This window comes from Homo sapiens, chromosome 13, assembly GCF_000001405.40.
Source record: "Homo sapiens chromosome 13, GRCh38.p14 Primary Assembly".
Taxonomy (NCBI): Eukaryota; Metazoa; Chordata; class Mammalia; order Primates; family Hominidae; genus Homo; species Homo sapiens.
In genome coordinates this window covers 102,777,501-102,799,009 of record NC_000013.11, presented here as the reverse complement: position 1 = coordinate 102,799,009, position 21,509 = coordinate 102,777,501, and the positions used below count along the sequence as shown (strand labels likewise).

Below are 21,509 nucleotides of genomic sequence, written 5' to 3'. Positions count from 1 at the left end.
ACCTTGGCTGGAACCTGAGACGGATTCGCTCCCAAATGATGCTCCAGTGGCAGGAGCAACTCAAGTTCATCATTGTCCTGAGAGAGAGGAGCAGCGCGGTTCTCGGCCGGGACAGCAGAACGCCAGGGGACCCTCACCTGGGCGCGCCGGGGCACGGGCTTTGATTGTCCTGGGGTCGCGGAGACCCGCGCGCCTGCCCTGCACGCCGGGCGGCAACCTTTGCAGTCGCGTTGGCTGCTGCGATCGGCCGGCGGGTCCCTGCCGAAGGCTCGGCTGCTTCTGTCCACCTCTTACACTTCTTCATTTATCGGTGGATCATTTCGAGAGTCCGTCTTGTAAATGTTTGGCACTTTGCTACTTTATTGCTTCTTTCTGGCGACAGTTCCAGCACTCGCCGAGACCGGCGGAGAAAGGCAGCTGAGCCCGGAGAAGAGCGAAATATGGGGACCCGGGCTAAAAGCAGACGTCGTCCTTCCCGCCCGCTATTTCTATATTCAGGCAGTGGATACATCAGGGAATAAGTAAGTCGAGAAACGGCTCCTTACCTATTTTGGATGGCGGTTAAATCTGTTTCTCCCTTTAAGATTTTTCTTTCCAAGAACTCGTTTCTCCACAGCAGTTTATATTCCAGGATATTTGGTTACCCATTTTTCTCTGTAGCTGTAGAAATTGTTCCGAATTATAATATATGCAATATAATGTATTGTATATAACATATAAAATAATCTCCTAGCAATTTTGATTCAGATTCCCACATTATCAGGGCAAGACAAAGTCCCTCCACTTTGCTGGAAATACTGTTTCTAACTACTTTTCGCATAAGCTATTATAAGGGATTTAAACCTAGTTGTTAGAGACTTGATGGGCTTCATCTTTCTCTGGTGCGGCCCTCAATTTTCAAGGAGACATCTGCAGGTAAGCATGTTTTGAAACTGAAAAAGAAAAATGAAGTACTATTTGAAACTTCAGAGTTCGGAAGGAAAGTATCGAAGTATTAATCTCCTATATGATTGTAACAAATATTTTGTTCCAATGAATTTAATACTTTAACATCATACTTAAAACTTATTTTTATAATTCCTATACTTCTGAAATGATTGTCTCTATTATTGGTGGATGCTGACTGTGTGTATTTCATACAGAAAAAAATACTGGAATAAAAGGTTGTCAAGTAAAAGGCAGGTTGTAAATTTTGTTATTTGGCAAAAGATGATACACTACCTACTACTTTGCTTTTGCCCATGGCTGAGCGTGAGTTTTTTTTTTTTAAGACAGGGTTTCACTTCCTAGCCTAGTCTGGAGTGCAGTGGTGCAATCACAGCTCACTGTACCCTCAACCTCCCAGGCTGAAGCTATCCTCCCACCTCAGCCTCCCTAGTAGTTGGGACTACAGGCGTGTGCCACCTCGCCTGGCTATTTGTTTTTTATTATTATTATTATTATTTGTAGAGACAGGATCTCACCTTGTTGCCCAGGCTGATCTCGAACTCCTGGCCTCAAGCAGTCTTCCCTCCTTGGCCTCCCAAGATGTTGAGATAGTAGGCATGGGCCACAGTGCCAGGCCTGAGCGTGATTTATAATACTGATATTGTAAAGATTCATTGGCAGAGATTTTTCAAAATAAGATCATTATCTTTGGGAGCATCATTTGATCACAAATATCCAGATGTGATAGCATGAAATAAGTTAGTAAGAATATTTTTCCATATGGAATGCATGAGTATGTTCTGTGCTTATATAGATTAATAGTCTTAACATACTCCATTGTGACTGTTTAATGAAACTGTTTCATGTTATCTTGGCCATTGTCATCCTCATTTTTTTAAATCTCTGATCCATCATATTCATTCTGGTACTAAAAGCATAAGAGAAGAAGAAGCAATCATATGTTAGAGGAAGAATGTGGAGGAGAATAATCAAGTTTCCAGACTGAAGAGCATAACCTTTGTGTGTTTGTTCGTTAAAATCTGTTTATCTCCCCCATTGCCTTTTCATCACAGATTCACATCTTCTCCAGGCGAAAAGGTCTTCCAGGTGAAAGTCTCAGCACCAGAGGAGCAATTCACTAGAGTTGGAGTCCAGGTTTTAGACCGAAAAGATGGGTCCTTCATAGTAAGATACAGAATGTATGCAAGCTACAAAAATCTGAAGGTGGAAATTAAATTCCAAGGGCAACATGTGGCCAAATCCCCATATATTTTAAAAGGTAATTTGGAATATAATTTTATAACAGCAGTATTTGAATAAAATAATATATGTTATTCCATCAACAAAAACAACTTGGCATGATATATATATATATATATATATTTTTTTTTTTTTTTTTACTGAAAGAAGAAAAATAAAGGCTTTCTACTTGAAAGCTAAGTTATGAGTCCTGGTAAAAAGACATTCAAGATTTGAACGGAAATTCTGATTTGCTAAAGAGCAAGGAACATATTAGTAGAGAATTTACTCCGCGAAGACATACATTAGCAAGAATAATCAAGCTGTGTTCATGCTCATATATGATACTTTCTTAATTGGAAATATATGACTTAAGTAACTGATAAGTGTTATTGAAATTAGGTAGATCACTTCAGGAAGGGAGATAGCTCGAAAGACAAGGAGCGCACTGGTGGTTGTTTTTTTGTCTTTGTTCCAATGCCATTTTCCCAGAGAAATTCTCTGACATTTATTTATTTATTTATTTATTTATTTTTTTTTTTTTTTTTTTGAGGCAGAGTCTCGCTCTGTCACAAGGCTGGAGTGCAATGGCGCAGTCTTGGCTCACTGCAAGCTCCGCCTTCCGGGTTCAAGCGATTATCCTGCCTTAGCCTCCCATGTAGCTGGGATTACAGGCACGCACCACCATGCCAGGCTAATTTTTGTATTTTTAGTAGAGACAGGATTTCACCATGTTGACCAGGATGGTTTCGATCTCTTGACCTCATGATCTGCCTGCCTCAGTCTCCCAAAGTGCTGGGATTACAGGTGTGAGCCACCATGCTCGGCCATTCTGATGTTTCTTATATAGGATGAGAGTACAGTTTTATTACCTAGAGCCATCTCCTTCCCTCTTACAGGCGACAGTACCACAAGACAGTAGGGAAGCAGTGTATATACAAAGGCAGAAATCTTGTCCCCCCCTTAACAACCCCAAGAAAAGTAAACTTTTTTTTTTTTATTTTTGTGAACTCTGCAGAGAAGTAAGAAAAGGTAAACACTTTTCAAGAGTGTCTAGGTTCCTTTCCTACATTCTGCCAGTACAGCCTGGTACAGTATCACCCACTAAACCTTAAAAAGATATTCCATTGTCAGCCACTGCCTGGGTTAGGTGGGATCTGAGAATTATAAAAAGGAATAACAGTAAAAACCTCAGTGCAGACTGTAATTAATTTGTTATAAAATTAGTGAAGTGGACTGTTTTGAGAATTACTTTTGCTTCTTTTTGTTGCCGTTGTTGTTGAGACAGGGTCTCGCTCTGTTGCCCAGGCTGGAGTGCAGTGGTGCAATCACTGCTTACTGCAGCCTCGACCTCCTGGGTTCAAGCAATCCTCCCACCTCAGCTGCATGAGTAGCTGGGACTACAGGCACTCACCACCATGCCCCACTAATTTTTGTATTTTTTGTAGAAACAGGGTTTTGCCATGTTGCTCAGACTGGTCCCGAACCCTGGAGCTCAAGTGATCTGCCCACCTCAGTCTCCCAAAGTGCTAGGATTACAGGCGTGAGCCACTGTACCCAGCTACTTTTGCTTTTTTTTTTTTTTTTTTTTTTGAGACGATGTCTCGCTCTGTCACTAGCCTAGAGTGCAGTGGTGCAATCTCGGCTCACTGCAAGCTCTGCCTCCCGGGTTCAAGCGATTCTGCTGCCTCAGCCACCCAAATAGCTGAGACTACAGGGACGCGCCACAACACCTGGCTAATTTTTGTATTTTTAGTAGAGACGGGGTTTCACCATGTTGACCAGGATGGTCTCGATCTCCTGACCTCGTGATCCGCCCGCCTCAGCCTCCCAAAGTGCTGGGATTACAGGCATGAGCCAAGAACCCAGCCTACTTTTCCTCCTTAATAATTCTTAAAAAAAAAAAAAAAAAGAATAGCAGTTCCTTGTTTATTTTTGCTGTTATTGATGATTTACTTATTGAGAAAAGTACCTTAGACACTTTAAGAACCTGTTTGTATAACAGACCATCAAAATAGTAAATCATATCACTTTTGTCTTTCATTAAAATAGGTATGCTCCTCTGATACCCTTTTACCAGTATTTGGTTATTCTTCAGTCTGCAAAACATAAGGAATAATGAGCTGTAATATTACCATAGACATAAACCAAGTATCTGTTGTCTTTCTTTTATTTTTTGAAACAAGAGTCTCACTCTGTCCCCCAAGCTGGAGCACAGTGGCACAATCTCCGCTCACTGCAACCTTCACCTCCCAGATTCAAGCTATTGTCATGCCTCAGCCTCCTGAGTAGCTGAGATTTCAGGCACACACCACCATACCCAGCTAAACTTTTTTGTATTTTTAGTAGAGATGGGGTTTCAACATGTTGGCCAGGCTGGTCTCAAACTCCTGACCTCAAGTTATCCACCCACCTCAGCCTCCCAAAGTGCTGGTATTACAGACGTGAGCCACTGCACCCAGCCTCTATTTCCTTTCTTTTGAACTCATGCAAAGTAGACCTTATTATTATGAAAATATCACAAAACTTCACTGTGAAGAGCTGTCAGAGTAGAAGGCTGACTTACTTGCAATGCCCCAGTATAGTAAAAATGTATTACTTTTTTTTTCTTTGAAACGGGCTCTCACTGTCTTGCCCAGGATGGAGTGGCGCAAACATGGCTCACTGCAGCTTCAACCTCCTGGGCTCAAGTGATCCTCCCACGTCAGCCTCCCAAGTAGCTGAAACCACAGGTGCATGCCAACGCACCCAGCTAATTTTTTATTTTTTGTAGAGACATGGTCTCCCTGTGTTGCCCAGGCTGCTCCCGAACTCCTGGGCTCAGGCTGTCTTCCTGCCTCAGCCTCCCAAAGTGCTGGGATTACCGACATGAGCCAACCTTGCTGGCCTGTAATTCTCTTAAAATGTGTTTTCAATGAAAATGCTCTTCCTATGTAACTAAGCAAAATTCATGAAGCCACATTATAGATGTTTATTACAAGTTTCGAATGCTGAGTGAAATGATCACTGTTGTACTTTGTTATTCTTATGTAAATAGGGCCGGTTTACCATGAGAACTGTGACTGTCCTCTGCAAGATAGTGCAGCCTGGCTACGGGAGATGAACTGCCCTGAAACCATTGCTCAGATTCAGAGAGATCTGGCACATTTCCCTGCTGTGGATCCAGAAAAGATTGCAGTAGAAATCCCAAAAAGATTTGGACAGAGGCAGAGCCTATGTCACTACACCTTAAAGGATAACAAGGTACAACACATGATTTTTTGCTTGTTTGTTTTAGTGATTTTTTTTCTTGTTTTGAACATTTGGCTACAATTAGCTAAATCATTTTATAAACATCATTCGAATGAGCACTGTGACAAGCTTTTCCTCAGTGAAGTCTGCCAGCGTCTTTAGACTAACATAATAAATGGTAAATTCTCTTTTAGGTTTATATCAAGACTCATGGTGAACATGTAGGTTTTAGAATTTTCATGGATGCCATACTACTTTCTTTGACTAGAAAGGTAAGTATATATTTTCTCTTAGCTGTAATAGATAATTTAAGCCCAGATTTTACAGGATAATTTTTCAAAATACAAATTATACACTATCAGGGTATTCTCTTCTGGAGCCTTATGATAATACTATTCTGAAGCTTTCTGTTATTTCAGGTACCTGCGTTTGTTTCCTAGGGCTGCCGTAACAAAGTGCTACAAACTGGAAGCCTTAAAATAACAGAAATGTATTCTCTGGCAGTTATGGAGGCCAGATGTCCAAAATCAAAGTGTCAGCTAGGTGCCATGGCTCACGCCTGTAATCCTAGCACTTTAGGAGGTCAAAGCGGGTGGATCACTTGAGCCCAGGAGCTTGAGACCAGGCTGGGCAACATGGTGAAGACCTGTCTCTACAAAAAATACAAAAATTAGCCTGTAGTAGTTTCAGCTAATGGGGAGCTGAGGCAGGAAGATCGCTTGAACCTAGGAGGTCGAGGCTGCATGAGCCGAGATCACGCCACTGCACTCCCAAGGCCTGGGTGACAAGAGTGAGATCCTGTCCCCCCCCAAAAAAAATTAAAGTGTCAGGAGGCCAGCTCCCTCTGAGATGATCCTTTCCTTTCCTTTCCTGCCTCTTCCTGGCTGCTGTCAGTGGCCCTCCATCTTTGGTGTTCCTTGGTTTGCAGCTGCATCCTCCCATCTCTGCCTCTGTCATCACGTGGGCTTCTCCCCTCATGTCTCTGGGTCTCTTCTTATAAGGACACAGCATAGTGGATTAATGGCCCAGCCTACTCCAGTATGACCTCATGCTAACTAATATCTGCAACAACCCTATTTCCAAATAAGGTCATTCTGAGACACTGGGATTTAAGACTTCAGCATATCTTTTGCAGGGACACAATATTTTATAGAGGAAAGAAAAATGCCTTATCATAAAATTATTTTGGTACTAAACTAACTCTGAGTCCAAAGATGACTTGCCTTGTACTGAATCCCATTCCTTGGGATAATGGGCTTTTGTTGGGTTCTAGTGGAATGGTTTGAAAGTAATGTTAAAATGGTGGATGTGAAAGACTCTACCAACATTTTTACCAAATGTATATTTATTTGTAATCTATTATATTTATTTGTTGAATAATTTGCATGTATATCTTGATTAAACTACTCATGGAAAATCATAATGCCTTTTTTTCAAGATTTCAAAGCACTTACAGTCTGTTAATTCTGAATGTAGGTAGTTATATAGCATCAATATTAAGCCTCCTTTAAACTAAGACATCAGAGTACCGTCATACTTCTCTTGCTCCTCTTTGTCAATCCATGGGAAAATGAGAATGTTCTTCAGGACTTCGGTTTCTCAAGATGCTTCTCAGACTGGTCAGTGCTTTTCTGGCCTTAAAAATGTATATCTGTTGTTTTGTAAATACTCTAAACATTTTCTGTGACTAGATAAAACATATCCTCTTTACATATTCATGCCATTTGCCAGTAGAGGAAGGAAGCATAGCTTGAAACTTACTACGTTGCTGTTGGTGTTGGGCTTCCTGAGTTCAAATCCTGGTCCCACCACCTACCTGGTGTATGTTTTTTAAAATGGAACCATCTGGCTCACTAGCAGGAAACTAGGGTTAGAGTCCCAAGTGCTATTTTTTAAATTATTTTCCAATAATTCTCCTTCTCTTTGATCATCTTAGAGGCTGTTCGCAGTATTAGAACAGAGATTACTTTTGCAGTTTCATCCCTTTCATAGGGAGCATAGAATACTTATACATGTGACCATATTCTGAAACATTGCCCACTATTCAAACCAAGGTAATTATTATTACCTGAAACATGTAACATTGGCCTTTCATTAATGCAATTTCAAATTTAAATTGATAAATACAATGTATTATCCAATGCAGGAAATGTGAATAAGCTCCTCGTTTTGTTTTTTCTAGGTGAAGATGCCAGATGTGGAGCTCTTTGTTAATTTGGGAGACTGGCCTTTGGAAAAAAAGAAATCCAATTCAAACATCCATCCGATCTTTTCCTGGTGTGGCTCCACAGATTCCAAGGATATCGTGATGCCTACGTACGATTTGACTGATTCTGTTCTGGAAACCATGGGCCGGTGAGAGATAAGTCAGGGTTGGCCCAGAGCCTTGGTTTTCTTTCTTTGGTGAGTTCTTTTGCAACAACCTTTGTGATATGATGATTTGGGAGGAAAATCTGTTGCACTTTGTCTTCTAGGGTAAGTCTGGATATGATGTCCGTGCAAGCTAACACGGGTCCTCCCTGGGAAAGCAAAAATTCCACTGCCGTCTGGAGAGGGCGAGACAGCCGCAAAGAGAGACTCGAGCTGGTTAAACTCAGTAGAAAACACCCAGAACTCATAGACGCTGCTTTCACCAACTTTTTCTTCTTTAAACACGATGAAAACCTGTATGGTCCCATTGTGAAACATATTTCATTTTTTGATTTCTTCAAGGTATGACTTAATCAGTAGCTAATCTTTTTTGTTTTTCTAATGTATTTGTACATAGTGCTTTGGGAAGGGAAATTAAGGCCTGCAAATTTCAAGAGGTGGGAGAAGTTAGCACAAAATTGAGCGAATATTGAGACATGGGGGTGCTGGGGACTGTTTTGGCAACCAGGGTCTGCCCTCACTGCCCAGTCTTGATATTAAATGCGCATCAAGGGAGTTTGGAGCCTGGATAGAGCTATAATTTTTTTCCAGCTAACCCTTGAGATAAGCACATGTCACCTCCAAATATGTTTTTATTAATACTTACATGTAAGTCATTTTACAAATACTTTTTCCCAGAGCCATGTTATCACAACAGAATAAGGAAGATATAAACTACTTGTTTCTTACCAGGCCTTCTGGTGGGGAATGACGTGAAACTCATCCAAATGTTCTGTCTGGGAATTAGGGTTTGCTTTCTCTGTCTAGAATGTGGATTCCGCATGGTTCCTGGGGAGTAGTCCTTTTTCTAACAACTCCTTTTATAAGGCAGTGGGCACCACCCTGCTCTTTAGACCATGGAGTTGTTTCTGAAGTCCCCCATGGTAGAGAGAGAGGTGGGAAAAAGGTCATCATCTGTCCTCTGTATGTGGGAAGACAAGTGATTAACGAGTTCTGTCTGCCCTGTAGATGACCAAATTTTCTTTTGATGGGTTTTGTTGAGGCAGGTTGACCTAAATGTTAACCTTGTTCAATGTTAAAGTTGAATTGTCAGTATTTTTCTATATGCATATCCCAAAGATTTTTGAAAGAAATGATTATAACCAAAGTGAAAGGATACTAGCCAACCTTCCTCAGTGGAGGGGTGCTCCATCCTGCCTTGGCTTTATTCCTGCCTGTTGAATTTTCTGCAACTAAAGATGATAGATTACCACAGTTCTATGAATATTTTTATTCATAGGTGTTCTTGCTCCAGAGCTTGCTAATTTCTTTAAGACATATGTCTGGGTGTTTAAAAAATACGGTTAGCCAGGCGTGATGGCTCACGCCTGTAATCCTAGCACTTTGGGAGGCTGAGGCAGGCAGATCACCTGAGTTCCAGGGTTCGAGACCAGCCTGGCCAACATGGTGAAACCGCATCTCTACTAAAAATACAAAAATTAGCTGGGCGTGGTGGTGCGTGCCTCTAATGCCAGCGACTGGGGATGCTGAGGCACAAGAATCACTTGATCCCAGGAGGTGGAAGTTGCAGTGAGCTGAGATCACGCCACTACACTCCAGCCTGAGTGACAGAGCAAGACTCTGTCTCAAAATAAATACATAAATAATACGGTTAACATGGCTCAGAATATGCCATCATTAGGGGCACATTTGCAATCAATAAAGTAGCAGGAGAATTACAAAAAGTCACAAATGAATCCATCCTTCCTTATGTTGCAGCCTTAGGACAGCAGTATGATTGTATTCGCTGCTTCAACACTAGATTTGTATCCTTTGTAAAATTGAGAAGCACATCAAAATGAGCATTTAGCTCTAGATCAACCTGTTGTTTAATAACACTTACTAAACGGCAAAGGCAGAGCGTGGAAGCTGACCAAATTGTGTCTGAGGATTGCAAAGGTTTATGTGTGGGATGGGAAGGAGAATAGAGTGGAGAAAAGGAGATTTAATAGAGGTTCTTAGACTTTACCATTGTTTTGCAGCATAAGTATCAAATAAATATCGATGGCACTGTAGCAGCTTATCGCCTGCCATATTTGCTAGTTGGTGACAGTGTTGTGCTGAAGCAGGATTCCATCTACTATGAACATTTTTACAATGAGCTGCAGCCCTGGAAACACTACATTCCAGTTAAGAGCAACCTGAGCGATCTGCTAGAAAAACTTAAATGGGCGAAAGATCACGATGAAGAGGTAAGGTTAGTCCCCTTGAAGGCTTATTTCCACTTGTTTCCCAATATCATGGGTCCTTTTGAAATGTATTGTACCTGGAGAGCATCCAGGATGTTCACGTAATAGACTTTGGCCTGTAAATGGGAAGCTGCCTGCCCATAGATGGCACGGCAGTTCCCCTAGGCTGAACACAGCGGGCACTGCATCTTACATTAACTCTCCACTCTGCATGTGAAACAAAAAGCTAGGCTGGGTGCGGTGGCTCGTGCCTGTAATCCCAGCACTTTGGAAGGCTGAGGCAGGCAGATCACCTGAGGTCAGGAGTTCAAGACCAGCCTGGCTAACATGGTCAAACCCCATCTCTACTAAAAATACAAAAATAAGCTGGCGTGGTGATGGGTGCCTGTAATCCCAGCTACTGGGGAGGCTGAGGCAGGAGAATCACTTGAACCTGGGAGGCGGAGGTTGCAGTGAGCCGAGACCACACCATTGCACTCCAGCCTGGGCAACAAGAGCAAAACTCCGTCTCAAACAACAACAACAAACAACAACAACAACAACAAAAAGCTAAACTGTGGCCTTGATTACACTTTCTCTTTCAAGTAGCGTTGCTCTGAGCCACAAGCATTGCCTCCGCTAGCAATGTGAAAATTGTAAGATGGCCAGTCTGGCAGAAGTCACTAACAGGCTCCAGGTTAAAATGAGGGATTGATTCAGAAGTAGATGCAGCCATAAATACAGAAATAAAGAGGGATGGAATGCAATAAACTTTAAGCTAATTGTCTCCTGAAATTTGTGAAGGCAGCTGGCTAAGCTTCATCTTGCGTTTACAAAGTCATCAGTTTGCTTGGTGTACAACCTTGTCTCTCCAGGAGAGGCTTAGTTCTAGAAGGTCCAATATGACTTTTCAAACTTTTAAGTCTTAGAAACCTCCCTCTGATTTAAACAAACATACTCTGTTAAATGTTCTGTTTTACCATGAGACTACCCCCAAAGATATTATTTCCCACAGTTGCCCCAATGTATACATACTCTGAAGAGCAGTTTGCAGATGCCTGCATGGGAAAAATGGATTCTATTACAGGATTTTGTCGTTGTTCTTCCTGTAGGCCAAAAAGATAGCAAAAGCAGGACAAGAATTTGCAAGAAATAATCTCATGGGCGATGACATATTCTGTTATTATTTCAAACTTTTCCAGGTCAGTATTTTCCAAGAAAATCATCACGTAACTTATAAGTAGACATGTTAAGAACAAATAATATTTTACTTAACAATTTCTAAACATATGTTACTATAGGGAGATATATATACTTCTGTGGATGAAAATCAGAGACAAATATTAAGTAATCATAAAAAAATAGTTGAAAACCAAAGATTAGCTAATGGAAAATGTTACAATATTAAGCGAAAACTATTAATATTAGAACTATGTGATGTCTGACTAAGAAATTGGCCTCTGATCCTACAAAGTTACAGTGCATGGATTTGTATGTTCTCTTTGTGTTACATTGCTGCTGCCTTACCATTTCTTTGTCTAAACAGTGCCAGGTGTGTTTGGGCCTCTTGTCTTGACTCTGTATGAGCCATGACTTCCCTTGGAAATTATTTCCATGGACCTAAGCATTTAGAGATTGTAATCAAGCATATCCGACGATTTAAAGGACTCTTTTAAAAATGTGGTAGTAGGCCGGGTGCGGTGGCTCACACCTGTAATCCCAGCACTTTGGGAGGCTGAGGCAGACAGATCACCTGAGGTGAGGAGTTTGATACCAGCCTGGCCAACATGGTGAAACCCCGTCTCTACTAAAAATACAAAAATTAGCCGGGTGTGGTGGTGCACACCTATAATCCCAGCTATTCGGGAGGCTGAGGCAGGAGAATCACTTGAACCCGGGAGGTGGAAGTTACAGTGAGCCGAGATCGTACCCCTGCACTCCAGCCTGGGTGACAAGAGTGAGATTCTGTCTCAAAAAAATAAACAAACAAAAAAAAAAAAACAAAATCAGGTAGTAAACAAGTTCTTGGCTAATAACAGTACTAGATCTAGAGTAAGAGTTTTATCTCACAGTTGCAGATACTGAGCCCCATATCTGAGGCTCTGCTACAGATCAAAGTTGGTGTATTTCTGGCCTGTACTGGCTCCTCCCGATTTTGTAACCTTCCCTTGATAGAGGGAAGCAGAGGACAAACCGTGTAAAATGAATAAACTGGGGGGATTTACCATGTGAATTTCTAAGGATCCATGGGGCAGTGTTCATTCATTTAGCATAGGTACTTAGCACAGTGCTTCACTCAGAGTAAGCACATGATAAATGAAGATGATGATGGAGGCTTGTGCAAGCCATGATAAGGAAAGCAGAATAGTCTCTGTCTTCACATTCTCAGTCTAGGGAAGATTGTGTGCAAAATTATTTTTACTGTGAGGCAGAAGACGGTTAAAAAAAAAAGTCATGGAAATTTAGGATAGCATAAAGAGGTGTCTGTTAGGAATAGGCAGCCAGTGTTCAAAGGATGGCCTCCTCTCAGATGCTCTACTGTTGATGTTCAGAACTGGTATATATGACGGACTATGCAGATCACAGTTTGACACACATGAGTTAAATGAATCATAGTCTTCATATATTCTAGCCTCTCTCATTGGGTGGATATAAAGTGTTTTATAAGGAATGCTTTTATATTGTTGCTTAAACAGGAATATGCCAATTTACAAGTGAGTGAGCCCCAAATCCGAGAGGGCATGAAAAGGGTAGAACCACAGACTGAGGACGACCTCTTCCCTTGTACTTGCCATAGGAAAAAGGTAACCAGAACTGAGCTTATGGCCGGTGTCAGAGTAAAAACTAACATTGATCCAAACTTGCTTTTATTCCTATAGTCATTCAATCAGGCAGCAAATATTTGAGTTCCTCTCGAGGTCTCCAAGCAATTCAGTCTGCCAGAGAGATAGGTATAAAAGATAGCAGTGCTCAAGAAAGGATGCTACAATGCAGTTAATTGAGAAGACATGGTAGCTCCCTGGCAAAGTGGGGGGAAGTCTTTTATAATGTGAGAATCCAGCTCACACCCTATTTGAATGGATGCTTACAGTCTGAAAAATATTTTCATGTGTATCATCTGATGCCCTCATCTCCTCATGAGATAAGTTTGGCAAAGTTCATCATCCCAGTTTAGAGAAGGAAAAATATGTAACCACGATTATTAATGTTTTCCAATTCTTCATTTGAAAGTCATCTCAGTTGATACCACTACATAAGGATCTCATTGATAAAAATGAAAGTCAGATTCACATCTGGACTTTTAAGGTAGAAAGGACCTTAGAAGTCATCCAGTAAATGCCTTCATTTTATGGTTAACAAAACTGAGCCCAAAAAGGAATTGTGCTCAAAATCATCTAGCTGGATTATAGCAAAGCAAAAACCAATCTCTCATCATCAGATTGTGATTGTGTGTGCTTGTATATAAAGCTATAGTGTGGCAGGGGACTGTTGCTTTGATTATGATTTTTGTTTGTTTGAAGGAATGTAAATTGCATAAACTAGAGTGTGTGTGTGTGTGTGTGTGTGTGTGTGTGTGTGTGTGTAACATATGCTGACTTAACATTTTAGGCAACATAATTAGGTTTCTGAATGGACAAGTTCAAAATTGTGGTATTATAACCAAAGACAAGAAGGCAGATTTGGCAATTATTATGTCTACCTCTCAAGGAGGTGTAAAAGGAATTAAGGTGAGGCTGGCCCCAGTGATGTGACAGAACCAGCTTATATGAGCTCACTGATAAATATTCAGGAATTTTGCATACTAGTTAAATTTTTGGTAGCTTGGAATCATCCTGATAGGAGTATTTACACCATGACAATCAGCACATGCTACAAATCAGAATTTTGGCTGTTTTATTTTTGTCTTTGTTTTTTATAGAACTCATTAACCACTAACCAACTGGCCCTCAGAGGTGGTTCGTCATCATTGTGAACTCTGTCAGTGCTCCAAGGCCATAAAAATCAGTTAAAACCAATGATAAAACAAGAATTGCCAAATCGAAAGGTTCCCCCTCACCAATCCGTGATTTGGTATCAGAACACTTCTCACTTTGGCTCTAAGTGAGACTGGCAGCTTCCTTGCTCCACTCCTGCTCAGTTATTTATCTTCATCTACGTGATTGAGAGGAGGTACCCAGCCAGTTTCTTCCACTGAGTAGTAGAAGTTAGGGGCCAGAATGATAGCTTCGTTTATTTTTTGCTCATTGTCTATCCTAGTCTTTCACCACTACTGTTCATAACATGAGGCCTTTACAGTAGTACAGCCCATGGATGTTTGGGTTCCTTATCAGTAGGCTATGAAACACAATGTGATTTTACCCTTAGCTGACTCTGGGCCTCTGGAAATAGTCCCAAGCCCTAAAAGCCTCTAGCAGCAGCTTGGCTCCCTCTCATCTTTACAGGAAAATAATTAACGAATGTAAGTCTTCTTCACTTGTGTAAGACTTCTTGATAGCTCTAAATATTTTGCTTCTTAATTGCAGACCAAAGATGAACTCTGATATGCAAAATAACTTCTATTAGAATAATGGTGCTCTGAAGACTCTTCTTAACTAAAAAGAAGAATTTTTTTAAGTATTAATTCCATGGACAATATAAAATCTGTGTGATTGTTTGCAGTATGAAGACACATTTCTACTTATGCAGTATTCTCATGACTGTACTTTAAAGTACATTTTTAGAATTTTATAATAAAACCACCTTTATTTTAAAGGACTACGTTGTGCTAATTATTAGCCGTGTTTGGAACAGAGAGCAGTAAAAACAGAGAGAATCTGGGTCCTTAATGCACAGCAGCCCAGACCACCTGCCCAGACTGGTTTTAAATGACAAAGCAATGAACCCCTGTCTCCTTTTAAGCCCATATTATTGTGGGTATTCAGCCAAACTTAATTCTAGCTAATACTTCGTACAAGGCCAGTCATTAGATGGCCTCTACCTGCATCTTTAGTCAAATCTCTCAGCACTTTCTAGTATCAATACTGTCCTCTGGAAGAACGAGTCCTCTCCCAGTTCTGTCAATGCCTGTGTCCTTACCTTCCTGGCTCTTGCCTTTCCCTTGTCCTGGAATGTCTTGGCCCTCTTTTCTTCAACCGGCTTACACATCCTTCAGCACATATTTTATCCTTACTAGATTTTAAGTGCCATGACCTCAGAGACCAGGCCTTTCTTCTGGGTAGTCCTAACGTCTAATAGAGTGCCAGCAACTAGAAAGACTGAATAAATATCTAATGGGTGATATGGTTTTGATGTTTGTCCCTTCCAAATCTTATGTTGAAATGTAATTCTGAGTGGTGGAGGTGGGGCCCGGTGGGAGATGTTTGTATCTTAGGGGTGGATCCCTCATGAATGGCCTGGCACCATCCTTGCAGTGACAAGTGAGTTCTCACTGTGAGTTCACATGATCTGGTGGTTTTAAAAGGTGTGGCACCTCCCCCTCTCTCTGTGTTGCTCCCTCTCTTGCCACCTGATACCCTGGCTCCACTTTGCCTTCCACCATGATTGGAAGCTTCCTGAAGCCCTCTCCAGAAGCAGATGCTGGCACCACACTTCCTATACAGCCTGCAGAACGATGAACCAAAATAAATCTCTTTTCTTTAGAAATTACCCAGCCTCAGGTATTTCTTTATAGCAACACAAAAATGGCATTAACACAATGAGTAAATGAATGAATGAAAATCACTTTGAAATGCAGTTAAAAGAATTTAAAAAGAACTAAAAATCTGAACACTGAACCATATATCATATTCTACAAATTCCTTTACCTAATATTCTCTCTTCCATTCATCTTCCAGTCAAATAATTTTTTCTAAATTATTTTGAATTTTGAAATAGACATACAGAAGAATATAAAACATATATCTGCAATTTAAACATATATCTGCAATTTAATTATAAGAAAACATCCATGTAATCACTGACAAAGATTCTTTGCTTGACCACCTGTATTAGTCCATTCTCTCGCTGCTAATAAAGACATACCTGAGACTGGGTAATTTATAAAGAAAAGAGGTTTAATTGACTCACAGTTCCACAGGGCTCAGGAGACCTCAGGAAACTTGCAATCATGGCAGAAGCGGAAGAAAACAAGTCTTTTCTCACATGGCAGCAAGGAGAAAGCACCAAGCAAAGGGAAAAAAGCCTCTTATAAAACCATCAGATCTCGTGAGAGCTCACTCACTATCATAAGAACAGCATGAAGGTAACTGTCCCCATAAATCAATTACCTCCCACCAGGTCTCTCCCACAACATGTGGGGATTATGGGAACTACAATTCAAGATGAGATTTGGGTGGGGACACAGCCAAACCATATCATTCCACCCCGGCCCCTCCCAAATCTCACATCTCACATTTCAAAACACAATCATGCCTTCCCAACAGTTCCCCAAAGTCTTATTTCATCATTAACCCAAAAGTCCAAGTCCACAGTTTCATCTGAGACAAGGCAAGTCTCTTCCACCTATGAGCCTGTAAAATCAAACACAAGTTAGTTACTTCCTAGATACAATGGAGGTACAGGCATTGGGTAAATATACCTGTTCTAAATGGGAGAAATTGGCCAAAACAAAGGGGCTATAAGCCTCATGCAAGCCCCAAATCCAACAAGGCAGTAATCAAATCTTAAAGCTCCAAAATAATCTTTGACTCCATATCTCACATCCAGGTCACACTGATGCAAGAGGTGGGCTCCGACAGCCTTGGGCAGCTCTACCCCTGTGGCTTTGCAGGCCACAGCCCCTCACCCCAGCTGCTTCCACAGCTGGCATTGAGTGTCTGCGGCTTTTCTAGGTGCAAGCTGCAAGCTGTTGGTGGATCTCTCATTCTGGATCTGGAGGACAGTGCCCCTCTTCAGCTCCACTTGGCACTACCCCAGTGGGGACTCTTGTGTGGGGCCCAACCCCACATTTCCCTTCCACACTGCCCTAGCAGTGAGGGCTGTGCCCCCGCAGCAAACCAGCCTGAACATCCAGGTGTTTCCGTACATCCTCTAAAATCTAAGCAGAGGTTCCCAAACTTCAATTATTGACTTCTGCATACCCGCAGGCTCAACACCATATGTAAGCTGCCAAGGCTTGGGGCTTGCACCCTCTGAAGCCATGGCCCAAGCTGTACCTTGGTTCCTTTCAGCCACAGCTAGAGTGGCTAGGACACAAGCCACCAAGTCCCTAGGCTGCACACAGCAGGGGGCCCTGGGCCTGGCCCCAAAACCATTTTTCCCTCCTAGGCCTCTGGGCCTGTGATAGGAGAGGCTGCCTTGAAAGTCTCTGACATGCCCTGGAGACATTTCCCCATTGTCTTAATGATTAACATTGGGCTTTTTGTTTATGCAAATTTCTGTAGCAAGCTTGGATTTCTCCCCAGAAAATGGGTTTTTCTTTTCTGTTACATTGTCAAACTGAAAATTTTCCAAACTTTTATGCTCTGCTTCCTCTTGAACGCTTTGCCATGTAGAGATTTCTTCTGCCAGATACCTTAAATCATCTCTCTCAAGTTCAAAGTTCCACAGATCTCTAAGGCAGGGGCCAAATGCTGCCAGCCTCTTTGGTAAAGTATATCGAGCATCATCTTTATTCCAGTTCCCAACAAGTTTCTCATCTCCATCTGACACCACCTCAGCCTGGACTTCATTGTCCATATCACAATCAGCATTTTGGTCAAAGCCATTCCACAAGTCTCTAGGAAGTTCCAGACTTTCCCATGTCTTTCTGTCTTCTAAGCCCTCCAAGTCTCTAGGAAGTTCCAAACTTTTCCACATTTTCCTGTCTTCTTCTGAGCCCTCCAAACTGTTCTAGCCTCTGCCTGTTACCCAGTTCCAAAGTCACTTCCACATTCTTTGGGTATCTTTACAGCAGCACCTCACTCTCTGCAGTACCAATTTACTGTATTAGTCCATTCTCACGCTGCTAATAAAAGACATACCCACAACTGGGTAATTTATAAGGGAAAGAGGTTTAATTGACTCACAGTTCCACAGGGCTGGGAGGCCTCAGGAAATTTACAATCATGGTGGAAGGGGAAGTGAATACATCCTTCTTCACATGCCAGCTGGAAGAAGTGCTGAACAAAGGGAGAAAAGCCCCTTATAAAACCATCAGATCTTGTGAGAACTCACTCGCTATCTTGAGAACAGCAGCATGGGGGTAACTGCCCCCGTGATTCAATTACCTCCCACTGGATCCATCCCATGACACATGGGGATTACGGGAACTACAATTCAAGATTGTTCCCAGACCAAACTGAGAGTCAGGCTACTATTTCTCGTGGCCCAATAAGAAGATGCAGATGAACTGGGGAGGAAGAGAGTTTTTATTTCTGTAACCAGCTACAGGGAGAAGGCCTGGAAATTATCACCAGACCAACTGAAAATTACAAAGTTTTCCAGAGCCTATATACCTTCCAAGCTATATGTCTATATTTAAGTATGCATTCATCTAAACACATAAGTGATTAACTTCTTTTAATCTGTAACTAAGGTCTGAGTCTTGAAGACCTTTCTCTGGAGCCTCAGTAAATGTACTTAATCTAAATGAGTCCAGGTGCTGGGGTGATTACCCTTATCTTGTCTCCTACTAAATCACGAAGGTTTAGGGATTTCCTTCAGACTCCCAATAAATTAGTTTATGGAGGCCTTGGGAGTTTCTTCAGGCCCCCAGTAAAACTTGTTTTATCATGCTTTAAGGTTCAGGAAAGGCCTAGGCAAAACTCTTGTTGGGCTGTTGTTACATTCCAGCCTTTGTATAAGGACGCTGGCTTTTAACATTTAATTTAACCACTCAGTCAGTACTGAAACTGTTGTATGGAGGCCTGCGTTAGTGAGACCTGGCCTGCCACAAGATGAGATTTGGGTAGGGACACAGCCAGACCATATCACCATCCTTTCATCAGCCTCCTGAACCTTGTCGTAGGCCTATCTGTGCACTGCCTTATAAAATTCAATTTTAGCAAGAACCCTGCTAAGTCAGTTTCACAAAAATCCCCCACCCTCCATATGTGACCACACTTTATATCTAATCTGCTTCCTCATCCTCTACCATCCCCCAGGTCATGTCTGATCGTGCTGGCCTGTTTTCAGCTAGAATCCCATTTGGTCTATTTAACCAGAATCTCTGTCACCCTGATGCATTTCCTCTTAGTAATTTTCCATCCACTGACTCCCTACCCTGCTCCTTGGCTATAAATGCCCATTTAACCATGCTGTATTCAGAATTGAGTCCAATCCTATACTGAAGTGTCTTTTCCCCTGTTGCAATAGTCCTGAATAACATCTGTTTTTTTACCACTTTAACTATCGTCCAGCTCTGGTTTTTCTTCGACATTTCCACTCGGGTTCAGAAATAGAACATTGCTTAGAGGTGACCACAGTGCCTCCTCTTATCACATTTCCTCTCTGCTCCCAGGTAACCACAAACATGATGGCTGTGATAATCTTTTTCTTGCTTTTTAGTTTTACCACCTACATACACTTCCCTAAGCAGTAGAGTTTACTCTTGCCTATTTTGAAATTGATATAAATGGAATCATATCAAATTTTTGTTGTTGTTACTTGCCTATTTTTTTTTTAGACAGAGTCACACTCTGTCACTCAGGCTGGAGTGCAATGGCACAATCTTGGCTCACTTCAACCTCCACCTCCCAGGTTCAAGCGATTCTCCTGCCTCAGTTTCCTGAGTAGCTGGGATTATAGGTGCCTGCCTTGCCCGGCTAATGTTTTGTATTTTTAGTAGAGACAGGGTTTCAGCATGTTGCCCAAGGTTGTCTCAAACTCCTGAACTCAAGTGCTATGCCAGCCTCGGCCTCCCAAAGTGCTAGGATTACAGGCATGAGCCACCACACCCAGCCTTATTCATTTTTTATATGTGGACAGTACTTCACCATATAAATATGATCACTTTATTTTACCGTCCATTGCAGATGGACATTTGGATTCCTCTCATTTGGGGGGAATGTCAATCAGTGCTACAGCAAACATTCTTATTCATGTTTCTTGGCCACATTTGATTAGAAGTGGAATTACTGGGTTATAAGGAATGTACACCTGTTATTTCACTCGATAATGTTAAATGATTCCAAATTGGTTGTCCCAGTTTATGCTCTTTCCAGGGCTGTACAGAATTTGCAGTTGTTTTACTTTCTTGCTAACAGTTGATATTATCAGACTTACAAATTTTTTGCCAATCTGATTAGTACACAATGGTAACACATTATGTTTTAATTTTCATTTCTCTGATTATTAATGAGGTTGACCATTTTGTGGTTATGAGCCATTTGTGTTGCCTTTCCTGTAAAATTTTTAATCTTTTTAAATTTTTACTTATTTTCCTACTAAGTTGTTCAACTTCCTGCTGGATTCATAGACATATATTTTGGAGTTAGTACTTTGTGGTATATGCTGCATACATCCTACTTTATGGTATATCTTAGACTCTCATTTCATTGTCTTTTAATGCTCAAAAGATTATGTTTTTTGTTTTTTGGGTGTTTTTTTTTGTAGAGACAGGGTCTCACTAGCTGGTTATTTAATGTAGCTAAGAAAACTATAGATTTTTATATATGTTCTGTACCCAACCCCTTAACGAACGATTTTATTAGCTCTAATACATTTCACTTGTTTTTTCTCAAACACAGTCATATTTGAAACTGACAGTGTATCTTCTTTACCATATTTATAATCTTATTTATTTTCTGTCCTTATTGCATTGGCTGGAACTTCTAGCATAATGTTGAATGATTGTGGTGACAACAAGCATTCTTATTGTCTTTCAGACTTCAGTGGTATATCATTAGTCAGGATTCTCCAGATAAATATGACCAATAGAAGGGTGTGAGTGTGTGTGTGTGTGTGTGTGTGTGTTCATAAGGATTTATTTTAAGAAATTGGTTCACACAATTATAGAGGCTAGCAAGTCCAAAATCTGCAGTTAAAGTCCAAAGACCATTAGGCTGGAGACCCAGGAGAGATTAGTATTGCAGTTCAAGCCTGAAGGCGGTCTGCTGACAGAATTCCCTCTTGCTCAAGGGAGGCTAGTCTTTTGTTCTACTTACTCCTTCAGTTAACTGGATGAGGCCCCCCCCCTGCCACGTTACAGAGGGCAATCTGCTTTACTCACAGTTCACTGATTTAAATGGTAATCTTATCCCAAAACACCCTCATCAAAACATGCAGAATAATGTGTGACCACTTATCTAGGCACCCTGGATCAGCCAACTTGACACATAAAGTTAGCATTACAAATGGGAATTCGTTCAACAACTGTTGAGCACCTAATATGTGCCAGACATTGTACTGTGCTCTAAGGATACAGAAGTGAACAACTGCTGTCTATTCTGAAAAAGAATGAAATTAACAAGTAAAAACTAAACAAGATAATTATGGATTGTCATAAATAAAAATAGGGTATTATAGAGAAAAGTGGGGTAGATAGTGGTGGCTACTTTAGATTGGATCATCAAAGATGCTACAGATTTTTCAATGTCGAGTAAAATGTTTGGTATA

At 41.2% G+C, this 21,509-nt stretch overlaps 1 protein-coding gene across 4 annotated transcripts; it reads left to right on the top strand.

The window, feature by feature from the left end:
- Positions 1–33: 33 nt before the first annotated feature.
- POGLUT2 (protein O-glucosyltransferase 2) lies at positions 34–14,729 on the top strand. Of its 4 annotated transcripts, NM_001318732.2 has the most exons (11): positions 34–521; positions 2,001–2,206; positions 5,204–5,409; positions 5,592–5,669; positions 6,874–7,016; positions 7,580–7,752; positions 7,872–8,109; positions 9,789–9,998; positions 11,087–11,176; positions 12,671–12,778; positions 14,498–14,729. In NM_001318732.2, the coding sequence occupies exons 5-11, from the start codon at positions 7,002–7,004 to the stop codon at positions 14,513–14,515; spliced, it is 852 nt and encodes a 283-aa protein (NP_001305661.1). In that variant the 5' UTR covers positions 34–521; positions 2,001–2,206; positions 5,204–5,409; positions 5,592–5,669; positions 6,874–7,001; the 3' UTR covers positions 14,516–14,729. The 4 variants fall into 4 exon arrangements, with proteins under 4 accessions (NP_001305661.1, NP_076994.2, NP_001425939.1 ...); NM_024089.3 differs by lacking the exon at positions 6,874–7,016; NM_001439010.1 differs by lacking the exons at positions 6,874–7,016; positions 12,671–12,778.
- The last annotated feature ends 6,780 nt before the right edge of the window (positions 14,730–21,509 follow it).